This window comes from Homo sapiens, chromosome 2 (genome assembly GCF_000001405.40).
Source record: "Homo sapiens chromosome 2, GRCh38.p14 Primary Assembly".
Lineage (NCBI taxonomy): Eukaryota > Metazoa > Chordata > Mammalia > Primates > Hominidae > Homo > Homo sapiens.
In genome coordinates, this window is record NC_000002.12 from 220,826,759 (window position 1) to 220,849,636 (window position 22,878).

General features: G+C 37.3%; 1 long non-coding RNA gene across 1 annotated transcript in view, besides 1 other annotated feature; it reads left to right on the forward strand.

Annotated features, from left to right (window-relative positions):
* Positions 8,525-9,724: an enhancer, noted in NCBI's record as "MED14-independent group 3 enhancer chr2:221700003-221701202 (GRCh37/hg19 assembly coordinates)". NCBI's record gives its function as "activates an origin of replication core promoter dependent on BRD2, BRD4, P300/CBP and CDK7 cofactors, and independent of MED14, by STARR-seq in HCT116 cells {active_cell/tissue: HCT116}" and the evidence as "EXISTENCE:reporter gene assay evidence [ECO:0000049][PMID:35650434]".
* The window catches only part of LOC107985990 (uncharacterized), a 35,076-nt gene continuing 21,063 nt past the window's right edge, over positions 8,866-22,878 (forward strand). The window contains exons 1-2 of the long non-coding RNA XR_001739902.1: positions 8,866-9,037; positions 13,136-13,238. This is a non-coding gene — a long non-coding RNA (uncharacterized LOC107985990). The remainder of the gene's footprint in view (positions 9,038-13,135; positions 13,239-22,878) is intronic.

The window sequence follows — 22,878 nt, forward strand, 5'->3', positions numbered from 1 at the left end:
TGTATACATGAAATGTATATATAACAGATACCTAGTATATACTAATATGTTCTGACTATATATTTTTATATGACTATTGTGTGTGAATATGTGTGTATGTGTTTCCTGGGTTATCTAATCAATTTCATGGATCTACTGATCTATTTATGCAATAGTAAGACTATTTTAATTATTGCAGTTTAAAAATACCTGGTAAGAAGGCCCCACCCTTTATTCTTCTTTTTCAATGTTATAACAATAGCCTAACATTTTATGTAATATAAATATTATATAAATAAAACTTGAGAATAGCTGTTGCTATCATATGAATGTTTCTGTCTTCCCAAAATTCATACATTGAAATCCTGGTGCCAAAGATGATGGGATTAGTAGGTGTGGCCTTTGGGAGGTGATTGGATCTGAAGGCTTCATGAGTGGAATTAGTGGCCTCATAAAAGAGGCCCAGGGGAGCTCAGTTGTTCTTCTACCATGCTAGGAAATGATGAGAAGGTGCCATCTATGAACTAGGAGGTAGGCCCTAGACAGACATCAAATCTGACAGCATCTTGATCCAGACTCTAGAAGTGTGAGAAATAAAATGTCTCTGGTTTACAAACCACCCAGTTTACAGTATTTTGCTAGAGCAGACTGAATGGATTAATAGTTCACTATGCCATCTCTGCTCCTTCCTTACTGTCCACCATCAAAATCCTTAAAATTCACTTGAAGTTTTTTGGATTCTATGTATTATCTTGGAAACAAATAGAATTTTTATAATATTCACGTTTTGTCTTTGGGAATATGACCTGTCTCTCCAAATCTTCAAATCTTCTTTGACATTGTGTTTCAGTTTTATAGTTTTGTTCATATAGGTCTAGGTCCAATTTGGGGCTGTTATTGGATTTTTATCCATTTTCTAATTGGTTATTTATGATCTACAGAAAATGATTTGTATATTTATAACAATCTGATTTCTGTATTTTTTAAACTCAGAAAGTTTTTGCAGTTAGTTTTTTTTAATTATAAAAAGTTACAGATGTACAGGAAGTTTTATATGATAATGTAATAAATATCCTCTGTAAGGGATTTTATATCTATATTTATACATGAATTTATATTTTCATTTCATCAATTCATTAATTATCCTTTTTAAAGTGTTATGCATATATTTTTATGGTTTTCAGATTATGTTTAATACCTTCTTGGTATTTCAGAAGCAGCAATATTTTGAAAATAGCTAAACATAATCTTTGGCATGTGTTGTTAAGGAGTTAAAAATATGATAACAAGCTCTGAAATTGAGGCAGTAATTAATAGCCTACCAACCAAAAAAACCCAGGACCAGACGGATTCACAACCAAATTTTACCAGAGGTACAAAGAGAAGCTGGTACCGTTCCTTCTGAAACAATTCCAAACAACAGACAAAGAGGGACTCCTCCCTAACTCATTTTATGAGGCCAGCATCATCCTGATACCAAAACCTGGCAGAAACACAACAAAAAAAGAAAATTTCAGGCCAATATCCCTCATGAACATCAATGCGAAAATCCTCAATAAAATACTGGCAAAGCAAATCCAGCAGCATATTATAAAGCTTATCCACCACGATCAAGTCGGCTTCATCCCTGGGATGCAAGGCTGGTTCAACATATGCAAATCAATAAACATAATCCATCACATAAACAGAACTGATGACAAAAACCACGTGACTATCTCAACAGATGCAGAAAAGGCCTTTGACAAAATTCAACACCCCTTCATATTAAAAACTCTCAATAAACTAGGCATTGATAAAACGTATCTCACAATAATAAGAGCTATTTACGACAAAACCCACAGCCAATATCATATTGAATGGGCAAAAGCTGGAAGCATTCCCTCTGAAAACCAGCACAAAACAAGAATGCCCACTCTCACCACTCCTATTCAACATAGTATTGGAAGTTCTGGCCAGGGCAATCAGGCAAGAGAAAGAAATAAAGGATATACAAATAGAAAGAGAGGAAGTTAAATTTTCTCTGTTTGCAGATGACATGATTGTATATTTAGAAAACCCCATCGTCTCAGCCCAAAATCTCCTTAAGCTGATAAGCAACTTCAGCAAAGTCTAAGGATACAAAGCCAATGTGCAAAAATCACAAGCATTCCTATACACCAATAGACAGAGAGCCAAATCATGAGTGAATTCCTATTCACAATTGCTACAAAGAGAATAAAATACCTAAGAATACAACTAACAAGGGATGGGAAGGACCTCTTCAAGGAGAACTACAAACCACTGCTCAAAGAAACAAAAGAGGACACAAACAAATGGAAAAACATTCCATGCTCATGCACAGGAAGAATCAATTTCGTGAAAATGGCCATACTGCCTAAAGTAATTTATAGATTCAATGCTATCCCCATCAAGATACCATTGACTTTCTTCACAGAATTAGAAAATCTACTTTAAATTTCATATGGAACCAAAAAAGAGCCCATATAGCCAAGACAATCCTAAGCAAAAAGAGCAAAGCTGGAGGCATCACGCTACCTGACTTCAAGCTATACTACAAGGCTACAGTAACCAAAACAGCATGGTACTGGTACCAAAACAGGTATATAGACCAATGGAACAGAACAGAAGCCTTAGAAATAACACCTCACATCTACAAATGTCTGATCTTTGACAAACCTGACGAAAACAAGCAATGGGGAAAGGATTCCCCATTTAATAAACGGTGTTGGAAAAACTGACTAGCCATATGCAGAAAACTGAAACTGGGCCCCTTCCTTACACCTTATATAAAAATTAACTCAAGATGGATTAAAGACTTAAATGGTAAGACCTACAACCATAAAAACCCTAGAAGAAAACCTAGGCAATACCATTCAGGACATAGGCATGGGTAAGGACTTCATGTCTAAAACACCAAAAGCAATTGCAACAAAAGCCAAAATAGACAAATGGGATCTAAATAAACTTAAGAGCTTCTGCACAGAAAAAGAAACTATCATCAGAGTGAACAGGCAACCTACAGAATGGGAGAAAATTTTTGCAATCTATCCACCTGACAAAGGGCTAATATCCAGAATGTACAAGGAACTTGAACAAATTTACAAGAAAAATACAACCCCATCAAAAAGTGGGTGAAGGATATGAGCAGACACTTTTCAAAAGAAGACATTTATGCAGCCAACAAACATATGAAAAAAAAGCTCCTCATCACTCGTCATTAGAGAAATGCAAATCAAAACCATAATGAGATACCATCTCATGCCAGTTAGAATGGTGATCATTAAAAAGTCAGGAAACAACAGATGCTGGAGAGGATGTGGAGAAATAGGAACGCTTTTACACTGTTGGTGGGAGTGTAAATTAGTTCAACTGTTGTGGAAGACAGTGTGGCAATTCCTTAAGGATCTAGAAGCAGAAATGCCATGTGACCCAGCAATCCCATAACTGGGTATACACCCAAAGGATTACAAATCATTCCACTATAAAGACACATGCACATGTATGTTTATTGCAGCACTATTCACAATAGCAAAGACTTGGAACCAACCCAAATGCCCATCAATGATAGACTGGATAAAGAAAATGTGGCACATCTACACCATGGAATACTATGCAGCCATAAAAAGGATGAGTTCATGTCCTTTGCAGGGACATGGATGAAGCTGGAAACCATCATTCTCAGCAAACTAACACAGGAACAGAAAACCAAACACCGCATGTTCTCACTCATAAGTGGGAGTTGAACAATGAGAACACACAAACACAGGGAGGGGAACATCACATACCAGTCAGGGGAGGGATAGCACTAGGAGAAATACCTAATGTAGGTGACAGGTTGATGGGTGCAGCAAACCACCATGGCACATGTATACCTATGGTAACAAACCTGCACGTTCTGCACTTGTATCCCAGAACTTAAAGTAAAATAAAACCCAATAAATAAATAAATAAGTTAAAAATAGATCCAAACTTTTATTGAATTATTGCTGAGGTATACATTAATAGGGTATTGGAAAGACAGTCTGTGATGAGAAAATAGGTTTTATCTTTTGCATCAGCTGCATGTGGCTGTTAGTGGCTGCTTGAAGCATTCTCTTGAAAAGGATAATAAGTCTAAGACTAAACTCAATGAAAAGGAATGGTGCACTTGATTATTAATACCTGACATGGATGCAGAAGAAAGAAATAATGACACCTGCAGTACAAAATTGACATCTGTGGGCCAAATCCTCACTAGATGAAGCAAAAGTCTTAAGTCATATTTAAACAAAACTAACATTTAATTTTTTGTTTTTTTTGTGTTAAGTACAATTTCATGCTAATAAAAATTAACATTATCAAACTTTAGTTTATGAATCGCTAACCACACATTTCAAAGTTTGAAAGGTACACAAGGTGTAAAGTTAAAAACTCTGCTTCCCATTACAAGAAAAAGACCATTATTCAGAGTAGTTTCAGGTTCACAGCAAAATTGAGAGGAAAGTACAGAAACTTCCTATTTCCCCCATGCTCCCACCCATGCCTAACCTCCATTATCAACATCCTCCTGCAGAAGAGTAGGTTTGCTGCAATTGATGAAGCTACTTTGATACATCATTGCTACCCAGAGTCCATAGTTTATATTAGGGTTCCCTCTTTGGTGTTGTACACTCTATGGTTTTTTTTAGAGCAGTGATTTCCAGACTTCTTACTTTTGAAGACTTCTTTTTTTATGATAGAACTATCATGGACTTCACTGTAGTATTGTAAGATTACATATTTTCTCAAGCAATGGATATTTAAAGTCCAACTATTATATGCCCAATTAACATGTTTAATTTGTGGCCGGGCACTGTGGCTCATGCCTGTAATCCCAGCACTCTAGGAGGCCGAGGTGGGCAGATCACGAAGTCAGGAGTTCGAGACCAGCCTGGCCAATATGGTGAAACCTTATGTCTACTAAAAGTACAAAAAAATTGGCCAGGGGTGGTGGCGTGTGCCTGTAATACCAGCTAATCGGGAGGCTGAGACAGGAGAATTGCTTGATCCTGGGAGGTGGAGGTTGCAGTGAGTCGAGATTGCACCACTGCACTCCATCCTGGTCCACAAAGCAAGACTCCGTCTCAAAATAAATAAATAAAATAAAATAAATAAATAAATAAATAAATAAAATTGTTATTCTGTTAATTACAATTGCATCCACATGTACTTGAAAAAATTATTTATGAAATATATGGTTTTATTTATTCAGTGAATTGACAGTACTTGAAAGACATATAGACCCTCAACTCCCTTTGCAGTTCAATGGTAAAATGACCAAAACCGCAATGATAATGAACAATACTTAACCATTTCCCAACCAAAACAATTCAGAGAAACAAAATCTGCAATAGTAAGAGAACAGAAAATTTTAAATCATGATGATTTATAGGGTTTCTATTTAAGGAGTGTTTGCTGTCTGTCAAGGATTAAACTAAATACTTTTCATTCCTCCTTTCTTTTAGTTATCATGACTATGCTATGATCACATATTAAGTTTGCACAGTGGATAAGTTGTGCACCTAGGCTTTAAGGATGGATCTCGCTGGCTCTAATCCGTGTGTTGTTGCCACACATCTCCTGCCCATCTAAGCATCTAGTTAGTCTAAGGCATTCTGCTTTGGGGTTTAGAATACATTATATATTGTAAATTTAATTTCAGGCTTATCTTTTAATTATCATTGTCTTAGGTCAAGATTAAGATAAATCGGCTGGGTGCGGTGGCTCACGCCTGTAATCCCAGCACTTTGGGAGGCCGAGGCGGGCGGATCATGAGGTCAGGAGATCGAGACCATCCTGGCTAACACGGTGAAACCCCATCTCTACTAAAAATACAAAAAATTAGCTGGGCGTGGTGGCGGGCGCCTGTAGTCCCAGCTACTCGGGAGGCTGAGGCAGGAGAATGGCGTGAACCCTGGAGGTGGAGCTTGCAGTGAGCCGAGATTTGCGCCACTGCACTCCAGCCTGGGCGACAGAGCGAGACTCAGTCTCAAAAAAAAAAAAAAAAAAAAAAAAAAAGATTAAGATAAATCTATATGTTTTGAATACACATTAGCTGAGGACCACTTGGGATAATCCAGAATAAAATATGTGGTAAGAAAAATTTAGGTGGGTATTAGATTATTACAATGGGTGACTGGAAACTGGGATGCCCTATATCCAAGAACACACCCATGGTTCTTGAAATACATATTTCATTTAACCCTATATAAAGGGAGATAAGACGAATCAATAAAGCTCAAATGGCTTACATTTGATAAACTGAAGAAATAATGTTTAGATGACATAGAAGTAGAGAAAAAATTAGGCACCTTAGAATAAAAGAAGACTCACTTTTTTTTTCCTTTTTTTGGGACAGAGTCTTGCTCTGTCACCCAGGCTGGAGTGCAGTGGAGCGGTCTCCGCTCACTGCAACCTCTGCCTCCCAGGTTCACGCCATTCTCCTGCCTCAGCCTCCCGAGTAGCTGGGACTACAGGCGCCCACCACCACGCCCGGCTAATTTTTTGTATTTTTAGTAGAGACGGGGTTTCACCATGTTAGCCAGGATGGTCTCAATCTCCTGACCTCGTGATCCACCCGCCTCGGCCTCCCAAAGTGCTGGGATTACAGAAAGACTCACTTTTAATTTTACTTTTACAATTTGACCAGTCTTGGCTATGTCACATAGGTAATTTAAACACACACATACACACACACACACACACACACACACAATTATTTTAATGTTTGAACAAAATTTGAAACTGTTAAGTTTCAGTTTCCCTTACAATCAGCCCTGTTTTCCAGTCCCCTGGATAATATTGTAGGTCCTTATGTGAACTGCTTTTTTTTTTTTTTTAAATTTGGCTCAAGTGCACACATTCTATTGGCCTCTGTATCTATAAAAGGGATCTCTTTCATAAACACTTTTCATTGCCAGTACTGTAGGAAATGCAAATATACCGCATGGCATCTGTTTTGCAATTAATTAGTGTTAAAAAGAGACAGCAGCTTTATTATTATTTCTCCAATAGCTACTTCCCAAGACAAGATATGCTTCTTTACTTATCACTGTGGGAATAATTCTGTATTGAGTGCCCTGTGACTAGAAGAACTAAAAACATCAACATTTAAATTCACCTTCTCCCCCTAGCTGGAGAATTGAAATCACTACATCACAAATATTCCATCACTTCTACAGGCTATGAATCAGGGCACAAGGTGAAATATTACAGAATGACATCTAGCATTAATTATTATGACATGGCATGAATCCTTATATAGATATATTTACAGCAGCAGCCATTATTGTTATAAGAAGTATTAATTACATACTATTAATCCATTGTCCTCCGTGGGTTGACTCATACTAATAAACATTAAAAATGATTCAGATTTATATTTGAGATCATTTTAGTCTTTTATAATTGGTGAAAATTGAGAAATATCAAAAGGTTTACGTTATGGGTTAGTCCACTGAGATTATCTTATATCACATGATCCCCCTAGGTTGGTGGGAATAAAGAAGTCACTAATTGATGGCTGGGCATGGTGGCTCACACCTGTAATCCCAGCACTTTGGGAGGCTGAAGGCGGGTGGATCACCTGAGGTCAGGAGTTCAAGACCAGCCTGGCCAACATGGTGAAACCCTGTCTCTACTAAAAATACAAAAAGTAGCTGGGCATGGTGGCACATGCCTATAATCCCAGCTACTTGGGAGGCTGAGGCAGGAGACTCTCTTGAGACCGGGAGGCAGAGGTTGCAGTGAGCCGAGATTGCACCATTGCACTCCAGCCTGGGGGACAGAGCAAGACTCCGTCTCAAAAAAAAAAAAAAAAAAAAAAAATGAAGTCACTAATTGAACTAAAAATATGTGGGAAGCATGAAAGTGGGAGTCAAAGTGTTTGGCCCCTTAGCACTTTGTAAACATAAACGCAGTTGTGTCTATACAGATGTGTTTGCTGTTTACTAAGCAAATATTATCTTTGCCAAAAATTCAAGTGCCATAACTTTGTTTCCTTTTGTGTAAGATCAGTTAAGAGTTTATGTAAAGTGCGTGCTTTTACGTAAATAGCATGTTTAATATTACACTGAAGACAATTCAAAATACAAACATGAAAGCTACTATTTTTTTGTTTCTTATGCTTTCATTTATGTTGGTTGGCAAACAGTCTAGTCGTGTTCCTTAATGTGGCACTTTTGGTCAGTTCATCATATTCAACAACTTTACGTTGACTCAACAGGAGAACTTTTAAGAAACTTGTTGCAAGTTATGAATGGAAAGAGAATGTCAAAACCAGTAATGCAAGAACTTGTTTTCAACGTTGTATTCCAGTCTGTCACATCTCTACTTTTTCTCAGGTTTTCCATTTTGTGTTAAAAAATAAATTATACTGTAGTCTGAAAGTTGACATTCAGTTTACCAGGCTGTAATAATTTTTAAGACAACAGTTTAAATAGTCTGTTAGGCAATAGGAGTTTTATTCTTTAGTCAAATGCCATTGGTAATTTTAGAATGATGTATTTCCCTTCAGCACTATAGAAGTTGAAGATTATATGCTCTGGCAGCCACATTCTGTGACAAATCTGAGTAAATTTACATAATATTTCATCAATTCCTAGTGGGGGAAGGGCATTTACAAAGGAATTACAGGTCCTTAGAAAGACGGCACTACACAGTGCAAATAATCACATAAATTAGGTTTTTGTAGTAATCAAATTTGGGAAAAATGTAATTGAATTCTGGGGAAAGGGATCAACAAAGGAATGCAGAGACTGTGGGACTTAGCACTTCATTTGTGCTCAACTCAGACGCAAAATTTAAAACTCCAAAGGAAACTAAGACACGGTGGACATTTTTATATTCTCTGTCCTTTGTAAGATTTCAGAAGACATGTGGAGATATCCAATTTACTACAAAGAGTAAAAGGAACTGTACAGGTCTACAGAACTGACACTCGAGATTAGTGATGCCATTTCCTGTATCAAAAATTCAAAATCATGAAAGTCACGATGACTCATGACAGAGCAGGACATTGTGACGTGGCTCATCTGGTACTGTAAGTATTCTGGGATCCTTTCTCCCAGCCTCCCACTGTACCCATGACTTCAGCCACATCCCTGCAATTGACCTCATCCCTGACCCTCACCCCTCATACTCACTGTAGCCCGGACTCCTACCCTTTCATTGGTCATTTATTGTCACCTTCTCCTTTATTCTTATTCCCCCAGAAATCAGCTCCATCCTGAGCTGCATCCTGTAGTTGAGAGAAGCAGCTATCAGTGATAGATAGGTCAGGCTCAGAGACAGGGTGAATGATACATCTTATTTGATAAAGAAAAAACAATAATAACATCAAAATGGCAATGGTTGGGCCAGGTGCAGTGGCTCACACCTGTAATCCCAGCACTTTGGGAGGCCGAGGCGGGCAGATCACAAGGTCAGGAGATCAAGACCATCCTGGCCAACATGGTGAAACCCCATCACTACTAAAAATACAAAAATTAAGCCAGGCATGGTGGTATGCGCCTGTAGTCCCAGTTACTCGGGAGGCTAAGGAAGGAGAATTGCTTGAACCTGGGAGATGAAGGCTGCAGTGAGCCGAGATTGCACCACTGCACTCCAGCCTGGGCAACAGAGTGGGCAACAGAGACCTGGGCAACAGAGACTCTATCTCAAAAAAAAAAAAAAAAAATGGCAATGGTTGTTGTTGTAAGCCTTAACATAAACTGGATGTGAGAATCAAATGTTCCTCCTATTAAAATACGTGGTGTCCAAATGCCACACACCCCCTGTGGCAATACTGTCTGGGGCACTGGCTTGGCCCTGAGAGGAAAGTAAAAAATGCCCTGTGGATTCTAATAGGTTGCAGTCAAATCAATCCTACCCGACATGCAGGGAGTCAGATGGAGAATCATGCTATTGTCACTGCTAGTTTGACTCTGAAGAGACTTAGATCCAAATTCATCAGGCATTCCTCTGCTCAAATGTGGAATATAGAGTTTATCCATATGACTTGCATGAAGGCAGCATTGTTGTAAGATAAAGGAGGCAATTATTTTGTAAAGGATTGTACCTTTTCCTTAGCATTTTAATGTTGATGGTGTGGGATCATATGTTTCATAAGCTGAAAGAAACTTAAGGTGACTATTTGCTTTACTGATGTTTGTGTTTCAGATAGGAATGCCTGAGGTTGAATGGCACACAGAGCGAGAAAGCTTCTGACGCTATTTAAGTCTCTTGGTGCCGAATGGCTGGTGGGCTTGTCAAGGCTGGGAATGTCGAGGAGTTGTAAGTGGGTGGCAGAGTTAAGAAAAAATGACAAAGTGAGAGCTGGTTTTTTTTGAACTCATATTTTCCTCTTTTTCTCCTCTGAAAATATGGTCACTCTATTAATTTCTTGTTAACCAACTGTATTGGGAGACAACGGGTCCTGAAGTAATGTCTCACCTCATATTATGAATTGGAAACAAAATTCCTCATAAATCTCTAAACAGTCTGTCTTGTTTTGATATTAAAGGGGAGAGGGAGAAGTAGAGGAGGGGTGAAGGAGAGAAGCAGGCAGGGAGGGGAAGCAAGGGGACGAAGAAGAAGGGACAATGTCTAGAGCTGCAACATAGAGCAATGCCTCTCTCATGGCGGCAGCACTTTTCCTAAGTGGGATTGAGCTCTCCAGGGTGCTCCCTTCCTCCTCTCTGCCCTGGGAATTTTTAGCAACAGCTGCTTGCAAAAGACCTCTGGATCCCTAACCATGTTATTGACTTCTCCAGCCCTTCTGCAGGATACTGGCTCAGTCACCACACACAGAGCATCAAGTCAAAGGTGAAAAGTGTTCAGGGGAGCTCTGGAGAGATAGTGGGCTGTCTCTAGGACAGCCATGCAGCAGGCCCCCCTCCAAACCTTCCTGCTCTAAGTAACCAGGCTTCTTAGAATAAATATTTCCCTAAATGATTCACTGAAGTGGTATAACATGTCATGTTCACAAATCTAAACTCATATATAAATACATGAACGATTATGTTTCTTCCTGAACCAGAATGTTGTCTTTCTTTTGGTAGGCAAAAGTACTACTGGGTTTTCACAACTATTATTATTAGTGAACTAAAATGAGCATAGAAGACAGAATGCAGTTTTTCTTGGGAAATATAGTGGTGAATTCTCAACAATAGTTTATGTCATTCCTATATGTAACTGTTTAAAATGTGATAAAAATTAGGTTCTAAATCATCTATGTAGGAAGCATTTTAAAACATTAAAGATTAAATCATTAAAATAAGATACTGATATATTTAATAATAGGGATGTAAAACATTTTATAGAGATATATACCATGAAAAAAATTTAAAAAGATAAATAAAAACTGAAAAGAATTTGCAACACACACGTTTGGAAAAAATTAATAACCTTGCTGTATAAAAGGTTCTTATATATCGCAAGAAAATGCTGCTATAGATAATGGAAAATAAATACAAATGGTACAAATATGAATGCTTAATCTTACTAGAAATGAAATGATTGCAAATTAAAATATGTATAGACTTATCAATCTCAAATAAGACCAGTTTATAGAGATATTGTTAGAAATGAAGGGTAAGAAAACTCTAAAATGCTTGTGGGAAATAAATTATTTTACAAACTTTTGGGAATTACAAAGCTGACATTATTTAGTGATTCCGCTTTTAGAAATTTATCCCATGAAATTTGGTGTTGAGTTCACAATACAGTTGTGAAAAGCAATGCTCATTGCAGATTTTATAATATTGGAAATTATCAAAACCTACTTTTAATAAAAGAGTATTAGAGACATTCTAGGGTATTTATATGATGGATATATTAGGAATCATGTGCTCATAAATATTAATAAGTTATAAATATTAATATATAAATTAACAAATATTAATGCATTACTACATGTAAGTTTAAAAGAACTTCAAGTATGCAATGTCTGCAAATAATTGTGTTTGTTAATAATGGAAATATACATTTATATAATTCTTTTTAAACTCTGTGCATACATGTATGTGTATATATATTCATATATATAGTATCTATCTCTCTATATGCATATATATGCACCTCTCAGTGTTAATGATAATTAATTCTAGGTGTCATAAATGCATAAAAATATTATGTGCTTTTATATTTAAACAAAAAATTTGCATAAATAAATCTTTCTCCTCCCTGTCCCTCATCTCTCTTACTTACCTATACTGACTTCCCTGACCCTATTCAATGCTCCAGATAGCAACAGAAGGCTGTAGTGGCGTTGGGAAAAAGAAGTAGAATAAGTTGAATATTTAGTTCACCTTGCTTTGGAGACAGCCTGCCACTCTCTTTAGGTCTCTAAGGAATGAATAGGCACATCCTCTTCTAGACCCGCTACTGGTATTTTGCTAGCACCTTCTGTGCTCTGACATCCCCTGCACATGCTTCGGATAGCTATGTCCAAGAAAAAAAACCGTTCCTTCACAATCCTCAATTTTTATCTAAAATGAACACTGGTCTTTTTATGTAGCTATAATTCTCATAACAGCTTTTAGAAAATACTTTAGTCAGGAGAAAAACAACTTCAAGTCATCCTGCAAGACAAGGTGCTTCATGGTTAGTATTCACTCCTTGAAAGCAAACATTTCATGAGAAGGAGGGGAAATAAGGAAGGGAGAGGAGAAAGAAGAAGGATACAGTTATCCCTTAGTCTGTATAAATGTGGCTTTGGGAAATTTCAAAATACTGATGTGATCTAGGCAAACTGATTCACCCTAAATAATTTAAAATCTTAAATAAGATTTCCAAGCTGGATCAATTAGATGAATGATTCTACCGATCATAGGGAAGCTAAGCTCTCTTAGGCACTGTAATAGAGAATGCCTTCTGAAAAATAAGAAAGGAAGACAAAATGCTCCTAGTTTCGGTGAAAAAAAATCATGGGAGACATTCTTATAGTCCAGAGACAGCAGTGAGTCTGTCAATATCAGTAGAGAGAAAGATTCTGGAGCGGCAAAATGCCGCAAAGGACAAAGACTGACTTGCTGAATTCGTCTGAAAATGTAAGCCAGAGTAACCGTTCTAGTGCTAAAAAATCACCACCATGCCTGAACATATTTCTGCTACACCTAAATTCTCCACTTACTGTCATTTTTATTTCTTTTCTCTTTAGAACAAGTAAAAAACAGGTCTCAATTTTAGGAAAAACGTAATTCATTCTACAACTGACTTGGCTTGGCCATTCCTATCATAAGATGTGAAAGAAGAGCTGGAAAGTAAGTGTTATTAAAAGACTAGTTTTTCAATAATAGAATAATCGAAGAAGTAAAAATGCATTTAGGCATGAAAGCAATCGTTTGAACATAAGGTGAACTTTAACTGTTAGTGCAAAACAGTATAAAATTATAAAGAAAGCATTCGTTCGAGTTTACGTTTAAACTTCCAGAAGAAAAATAATCTTAAAATAGTCCCAAACATTTGGAGCACTTTTGAATTAGGATTCTTTGAAGCATGAAGATAAATTGATTCCAGGATGATTCCACAAAGGCACCAAAAGAAGTCATAAAGCTGCTGAGTGCATACAACTGTTGAATGTTTAGTCTATAAGCTCAGCACATTTTCTAGACCTGGGATGATGGAGATTTTATTGCAGATGGGCAAGATGGTTTAAGTTGGGATAAAGCTATCATTTTGATATACCTGTGAGGCTTAATGTCTCTAGCCCTCAAAAAGTCCTTAAAATGCAAATGTCAACCACACCTAATTGCTTCTGAAGTTTTAGCTCATTTTAAAGGATTTACAAAGAGTCAATGTTTCCTACCTAGCAACCTACATTGTGTTAGTTGTGTATGAACATATGTGAAACTTCCTAGTGTAATATAATTTTATTAGACAACCTGAAAACTTTACAGACATAATGTATTAGGTAATACAGTAATTCATTAACACATTGTGTGGCTTTTATTTTATTTATTTATTTATTTATTTTTTTACTTTGAGAATTTGGTTGGCTGAGGGAAAGAGGATAGTACAACAAACTATTAATGGTTACCTGGAATCAGTACTTCAAATAGTTTAAATAGTCAGAATGTTAATTTGGAGTCATTTAATCAAGATACTGATTAGGTGCTATAATTTATATCCAGAAAGATAATATGAACCAGGCATTCTACTATTTAGAATCTTGGTCCACGTGTCAGTTCCAATGGAGCTGTTCATGTTTAATTGCATTCTGGGACCACATGTGTGTTCCTGCTTATTTACAAGTCTTCTCTCCCCACCTCCTGGGATTCCTTTATCAATCTTTCATTTATCCTTTTAATCTTCACAGGGCTCAGTGCATTCCTTCCTACAGAGAAAACAAAACAGCTTGTGTACCTCCCACAATTCTTTACAAGATCTCATTTCTTGATGGTTGCATGGTAGCTCATTAAGCTGCTCTCACTGAGGGTATGAGATGCTAAAGAAGAGGGGAGGTGGCTGAATGAAAAGGAAAACCAAATATGCACAGGTCCCATGGGCATGTGGGCTTCATCTATATTAGGGAAAAAGGGGGGAAATCCTGTTTTTCTCCATGTGGATTCCATTATCTTCTTCTCAGAAGGACAAGCTTGATAGGTCTGCTTTGATGGTGCAGTATTTAGAAAAGAAAATATCAGGCTTGGAGCCAGATAGTCCTGAACTGCAATTCAGATCTTAGTTCTGCTGCATTTTGTCTCCATGGCATTGGATGAGTTGCTTGAATTCTTTAAGCTACAGTTTCCTTAACTACAAAGTGTCAATAAAAGTTCTTAATTTAGCACATTATTTTGAATATGAAACAATATAAATAATTTTGATTGCATGTCTCATAGAATTCAATAAATGGCAGCAATTGCTATTATTAATCCTACTAAATGGTTCAGAAAATAGTCCAGCTTCTTGTACACCTACAAACTCATGGCTTATGTAGCCCTAAGCCCAAGAATAGCCTTGGTTACCTTTCAAGATGACCTAATTTAATTGGTTTAAGTCTATAACCTGAGAATCTATCTCCTCCCTGGGTCTGAATAATCTGGCCCCTCCCAGTTCAAAAACGCTGGCTACTAGGTATAAAAATGTTTTATGGGGAAAAAAATGTAACAATCACAATGGAAAAGAAAGAGCAAAGAACTGTAACTCTCTTACATTTTTTTTGGTTTTGGATTTTTGATTTCAAAATATCCATAGGCTGCATGTGGTGGCTCACACCTGTAATCCCAGCACTTTGGGAGGCTGAGGCGGGTGGATCATGAGGTCAGGAGATCAAGACCAGCCTGGCTAACATGGTGAAACCCCATCTCTACTAAAAATACAAAAAATTAGCCGGGCGTAGTGGTACACGCCTGTAGTCCCAGCTACACGGGAGGCTGAAGCAGCAGAATGCCTTGAACCAGGGAGGTGGAGGTTGCAGTGAGCCGAGATCACGCCACTGCACTCCAGCCTCAGTGACAGAGCGAGACTCCATCTCAAAATAAATAAATAAATAAATAAACCGCTAAATATTTGGTCACTGTTAACTCTTTGCCAGAGTATGTATGCATACATTTAAATATGTATACACATATATGTGGGTGTGTATTTATATATAGGCATAAAATGCATTGAAATATTCTGAAAGTTTCACAATCTATTATTAACCAGTAACCATGGGGAAGTGAGTGGGATTCAATGGGTAGTGAATGGGAATTTTTAAGATTTTTAAATTCTAAGTCTGTATTATAATTATTACAAAATCATATTTCATCTATTATTTTTTCATTTTTGTTTTTAAAGAGCAGTATTCATTTACCTTTAACAATTCTTCATCTTCTCCTTCCTTACTAATTACTGCAACCCAATTTCTGTCCCTACCACTTCATAAAAACAACACTCGCAAATCTCATCAGTGACTTACTAATTGTTAAACTCAGCAACCCCACTTGAGTTTTGATTGTACTTGACTTTCTGTAGCATTTGCCACCGTTATGCTTATGGCCCTTCTTTGAAATTCTCACCTTCTATGACATTACACTCTGTTGCTTCCTCTCCTACTTCTGTAATTATTCTGTACTTTATTTAATTTTATTCTGCTCCTTATTAGTTCCTTAATTGAAGGCATCTATACAAATTTTCTCTTGAGCTGTCTTAAGCATACTATTTTCCTGAGCGGCTCTAACAATACTCAGTGATACAACTTGCACATTTCTAAGCAGAAGATTCACAAATATTCATCCTAGTCACTCTCATAATTTTCTGCACTCAATTTCTAGTTTATAAGCCAGAGAGCTACCCATCAATCTTTCTTGGGTAACTTAAACTCTGTATGTAAAATACTGATCACGTAACTGTTATCGCTACAACTTTCTCCCCATCCTGGGTTTCATATCTCACTTACATCATCTGCCAGAGAATGAACTCATCTCATCTGTGCATATAGGGTGGAAAGGTAATTCCCCAAATTTAAGAGCTATGTCTTTGGGAAAATTGTTAAAACTACCAGAATATTAGATTCATCATCAAAGAGGTAAATGTTAGTAATTATAATGTTCCCTAATGGTTGATGAGATTTATATATATGTAAATAACTCAGTAAGATGTGAAAAGATTTTTTAAAATAATCTTACTGGACACTGAGACTAGAAACCTTTGTGTAAGTTTATTTCTTTCTATTCTTATAATTGCTTTCCCCCACAAAATGCCTTTATTAATAAGAGTATCAGAACCTACCAATTATTTTGCTGAATCATCTCTTATTTCACTCCCTTCTTTCAAGAACCTCATCTTTTCTAAATTGGATTATGACAATAGCCCTCACTAGTCTCCTTGCCCTCTATCTCAATAGCATTTATTCGCTCCCATTGCCATCCTAATAATTTCCAAATTCGTGAATTCATTAACACTTAAGCCCAGGACTTCTACAATCAGGATCCCATCTCTCCTTCCAGCCTTATTCCTTACCACCAGCTCTATGCTCTAATCAATTCAAACAATATACTTCTGTCTCTCTTTCTTGCTTGCTTGCTTGCTTGGTTGCTCTATCACCCAGGCTGGAGTGCAGTGGCATGATCTCCGCTCACTGAAACCTTTGCCTCCCAGGTTCAAGTGATTTTCATGTCTCAGCCTCCCGAGTAGCTGGAATTACCGGTGTGCACAAGTATTCCACTCAGCTATTTTTTTTCCTGTATTTTTAATTGAGATAGGGTTTTGCCATGTTGACCAGGCTGGTCTCGAACTCCTGACCTCAAGTAATCCGTCTGCCTTGGCCTTTCAAAGTGCTGAGATTACAGGCATGAGCCACCACACCCAGCCTCTTCTGTACCTTTACTCATATTTGTCTCTTTGTCTAAACACCTCTTGCTTCTTCCTTCTTTATGTATTGAAACACTATAAAGTTCATCTCAAAAGCTTCTGCCACCATTAGAGATTTTCTGGTGACCTGTCATCCTATAAAGAATTCATTACATCCTAATTTTCTCTTCTACAACCATTGACTTTTATTTCTATGCTACCATTATATCATGCCTTCTTGTATCCATTCACTTATGCATTCATTCAGCAAAGACTTTCAGAGTGGATCTACTATGTTGGCTTCTGTAAATTACCCCAGTGGCCCAAAGAGGTGCAACCTGTGTAGTTTTCTTTCTTATACTATTTAAGTTCCTGCAAGATATTTCTGAGTCCTTTCATCTCTACAGTTCAGCTCATTGTTTGCATAAAACAGATGGTTATCAGATGTTCGTTGACTGAATCAGGTCAGCATTTACAACACCCTCTGCAGAGTCCATCTCTAGAAATAAAGTGTTAGGTCAATGATACTGTCTCCAGAAGATTAGCTCGCTTATTTGTAATCAAATTCTCTCTGAACATCTGAGGTACAAACTAGGTTTTCTTTTTTCAGGGAGTCCAAACTTTCTAAGTCTGTTTCTGCCATATTTATGAGAAAATATTGACTGAAAGAAAGCCTAAGTTCAGGCATCTCCATAGAATTATTTCTTATCAGACCTGGAATTTTCAAAGTACTCCAGCCAATATTCACCTTGGGTATACACTGATTAAGCTTCTTTGGAAATAGTGAAATTATCTTGGGCTCTCCAGGGAGGGTGATAGCTCCAAATCCCCAGTCCTAGCTGAAGTTAGCTCTCACCTTTGAAATCTGGATGGCCAATAGTCTTGTCTTAAATACTGCTAAATCTTTTTAAGTAACATGAGCAAAAGGAATGGGAGAGTGGTGCTAGTGAAGTCAGGGAGTGAGGGCATAGAGGAGGTAGAGTCCAAGCAGAGGGCTTAGAATCCTTGTTCTAAGTCAGCAGACCCCAAAGAGAAAGGAGGTTTAGTGGCAATTTGTGTTTCACAGCCTGTAAATCATGTCTGCGCTCTACCAGGTCAAGATGTTTTCGAGATTTCTTTTAGTTTCATATTGCACATCACACTCACCTTTTCCATGCAAAGTGTTAGAAGGTTGATTATTTTTTTGTTAGTGAACATTTGCATATGTAAAAGTCCCTAAGGTTTTTTAAAATAAGCTTCCTGTATAGAAATTTTAAAAATATATTAAATCCCTATTCTGTTTCTGAATTCATCAAATATGTAATTCCATATACTACTACAAATAATATATGACCTTGTAACTTTATAAGGAGACAATGAGAAAATGCTTTCAAAAATAATGATAGCCTTTCTTTTTCCAATCCAGGTGCTTGTTTCTTTTTAGTGGCAGTTAAAATTATTTAAATAACTGGATATTTTTTCTATGTGAAACTACTAATTGATTTGTGTGATTTTCAAATAGTTACTATTCTTTTACAAATGAAAGGGTTTATTTTTAATTAACATCAGAGAAATAATTATGACTCTATCATCTACAGAGGAAGGAAACAATTGTATAGCCGCATAACAAATGCATTCATTAAAAGTATTTTGTGGAGGGGGGAGTTTTAACCTTGGAACAAGATTACCAGTTTTCAAATATGATGCAATGAATATGACTTTTTACTTTTTTTAAGCAAAATTTTTATTTGGCAGTAAGGGAAAACCAGATTAATTTTTGTTAATTGCATGTGGTTATGAACATCTATGATTAATCATTTCAAGTTTATTAAGATGAACACATTGGAATTATCTTTAAACAAATGTAATGATTTTTGTGAAAATATACTGTTCAGATAACCTAAAATCAAAGGACCAGCATAGGAAAAAAAGAAGAAATGAGGGAAGGGAAAGGGAAAGGAAAAGGGAAAGGGAAAGGGAAATGGAAAGGAAAAGGGAAAGGAAGGGAAGGGAAGGGAAGGAGGGAAGGAAGGGAGAGGGAAAGAGGGCTGCTATTTAAGAATTTAGGAGTAATAAGAGGAATCCAAAGTAAAAACTTTGTAATAGCTCCTTGGGCAATATATTTTCCTGAATATAGATCTAAGGTTTGAACTATAAATTACAGAGTATTTGAACTGAGTGATATAAAGTCTGCTAAATGGTACCTGATTCCCAAATATCTAGGCATCTGATACTAAAATTAGTTTCTTAAAATATTTGCATAAAATAACAACGGTAGCTAATATTTATTAAGCACTTGTCATATGGCAAGCATTGTTTTAATTTCTTTATTTGTATCATCTTCTTTCAATCACTTAAGCACCCTATGAGATGGTTGATATTATTACCTCCATTTCACAGATAAGAAAACTGAGGAAAATTAAGTAATTTGCACACATTTTGTACAGTTAGAAAATGGTAACTGGAGGTCTAATTCCCAAACTCACATCATTAACCATTATTTTAGTCCACATGAAAGTGAACATTTTATTCTGAAATGATCGTTAACTTTTTTTAATCTTAGAAGACCAAAGTTATACACCTCTCCTGCCACAGGGAGTCAAGGGATGCTTGGAACAGACATAGCCATCTTCCCAAATACATATGGTCTCATTTTTCCGCCACTTTCTCTAAAATTGTTTAAATAGTCATCTTAATAAACTCCATGTCAGCATATGGCCTGGCCAATAGTTATTAAGGTATCATTTTGGACAAAAGCTTTGAGCTCGGGAAGATAAAATATTCCTGCTGTTACTTCTCCACTCTCCTACCCTAACCAGCTACATTTCTGAAGTTCAGGTACATCCTCACCAATGCATTCATTTAAGTTCCAAATATTTAATCATTTACTCCAGGAAGACAAAACACGGAGGACCCTGAAGAGATGTGTTTTAGAAGCCTTGGTGCTGCCTATGGTCTAAGTGAAATTACTTTGGCTTCCAAGTTACTGAGCTCAGTGTAAAACGACATGCAGATCCGAATGCTTCTTTGATATTTTTGATGTGAAAAGAAGCTCTCAGCATTGCTCCCTTTATGTTCACTCGTAATGCTGAAAAGATTTTGCAGATTTTATGGAATTCCCACTGAGAGAGATGAAATGCTCCCTTTAGACGGCCCACGTTTTAATGATTGAATAGGCACTCAGCACATTGTAGTTGCTCAATAAAGGCTTGTTGAAAGGAATTAAGTTTTATCAATGGCTTGATTCCAAGAAAAGCATCTGTTAGGATGATGCAAGTTCAAATTTGGATGCTCCTTGTGTGGCTTATTTAGGCCAGGTGTTCAGTAAAGAGACTTTGAACTGAAATGTTAAAATAAAGAAAGGTGGAAGCATTTTAAAGGTAAATCAAGCATAGTGATACCTTACCTTTTTATCACAGTTGCCAGTTTTTTATCATCCTATGAGGCAGGCAGAAAATATTGTCTCAATTTGGCAGGTTAAGACAATTGAGACTAGGAGCAGCAGGAGTTGCATCTGCAAGATTAGTTGGTGCATGATAACACTGAGACCAGAGTGGAGGAGATTTAACTCCAGGCAACCACGCCACACTGCCACTCAAAAGAAAGCTCTCCTGAAACCAGACAGCATTGTTTCTGTGCCAGATCTATTTACTCTACCTCCACCCGAACTTTCCTTCCCACAAGACTTAATTACTCATTGCTAGTACCATGCACATTCAACAGTCATGTGTATGGTATTCATTAAGAGAGAAAAATAACATAAAATAGCTCAGCTATGTATCTGCTTTCCCCCAGGAAGAGTGAAATGACTCCCACAGACAGTGGTGGAGCCTTAGGGTGCAGATGATGGAGAGGAATGAGAAGGGAAGAGGAGGCGGGAAGGCTGGTCTCAGTGGGTGGGGCGGATATTTACATGAGCTCCTCGCCTCACTCCATCAACTTTATGACTCACCAGTGCACAGCAATTACTCCTCCTTCTCTAATATTTCCCTTGGACAAGCTGTCTCATTGTGCTGCTGATGTTCATAAGGTTTGGGGGAGATGAGTGTCCCTGAAGATTAGATACATTTTTGTTAGCAAGGAATCCATCTTGCATAATTCTTACAGTGCAAATTAAACATAACTTTGAGTATCATAGCTGATACTTTTATTGCTGTGTGGTGGCTGAACTGCTGTTAGAAACACTGAATTTAACATTGTTCATTGTTCTGAGCCATGCAGGTGCTCTGCAGCGTGTGAATAAATGCCTAAGTTGTTTGTGGTTCAGCAACGAAATAATCTCAGGCTCTGACCCAAAATATACACAAACGTGAATTCTTTATTTTCCAAAATTTGTTTAGCTTTCATTTAGGAGATGAGGAGGGGAGGTATTAAAATGTGGGAATTTGGCTGCATGTGAAAATAAGGAACATTGAAAATGAAGTTAAGCATCTTCTGAAACTCTCAAACCTGTTTTGGATATCCAAATAAATGCAGCAAAAATAATTTATTGATTTAGAGAATTCTGGAAGACTCCAGGTTGATGGAGCACATGTTAATTATTAGATCTTTGTCTTCATAAGACTTTATTGATAACAGAACATCTAAGACAAGTTTCCTCACTGTCATTGGAGAAGACCCAAATTCTAGGAACTGGGCCTTATCCTCCAGAACTTAAAGAAAGATATCAGTGCTAAATAGCCACATTGAGTCTAGGAACACTTTAGTCATTAACTTATTTTTGGCTCCCCTCTGTGTAACGGCAACAACAGTCTTTTTAAGGGAAAAACATATTTTTGTAGGTAAAATAACTATGTACTGAAAGTATTATAATCATAAACTCCACATATCTGGGCTCTGAGTAAGTCTATTAGTCCATTTTCACACTGCTGATAAAGACGTACCTGAGACTAGGCAATTTACAAAAAAAGAGGTTTAACTGGACTCACAGTTCCATGTGGCTGGGGAGGCCTCACAATCATGGCAGAAGGCAAGGAGGAGCAAGTCACATCTTACATGGATGGCAGCTCACAAAGAGAGTTTGTGCACTAAAACTCCCCCTTATAATAACCACCAGATCTTGTGAGACTTACTATCAGGAGAAGAGCAGGGGAAAGACCTGCCCCCATGATTCAATTACCTCCCACCAGGCCCCTCCCACAACACGTGGTAATTCAATATGAGATTTGGGTGAGGACACAGCCAAACCTTATCAGTAAGCAAGTAAAACAGCATAGGATACTAAAAGGTAGTTAAGGTCAATGACTGGGGCTTAAAATGAACACCCATATTAGGCCAGCTTTGAATATCTTTTCAAAGAATAAGTGTCCGGAGGTGCTGTTTATCTGACCATCGAATTAGCCTAGATCACGCTGGTAACTGGTAACAAAGGAAAAAAATCACAGTGCAGCTACAGGGCTAGAGGGTGGAGGGGAGCCAGGGGAAAATAACCTGGCCAGACGGGAGAAAATAATACTGATTCATTTTTCTTAGGAGTAAATACATGTTGAGCACCTATTAATACAAGGTGTAAGCCCAGGCACTTCAGCACTTTGACTTAGACGTGTGTATTACCTTCACTGGATATAATATGCACCTGTAAATACTCTTAATGAATGGCAGAAAGTAATACATTGCGTAAAGGAGTGATAGCAAATGAGCTGTGTCAGC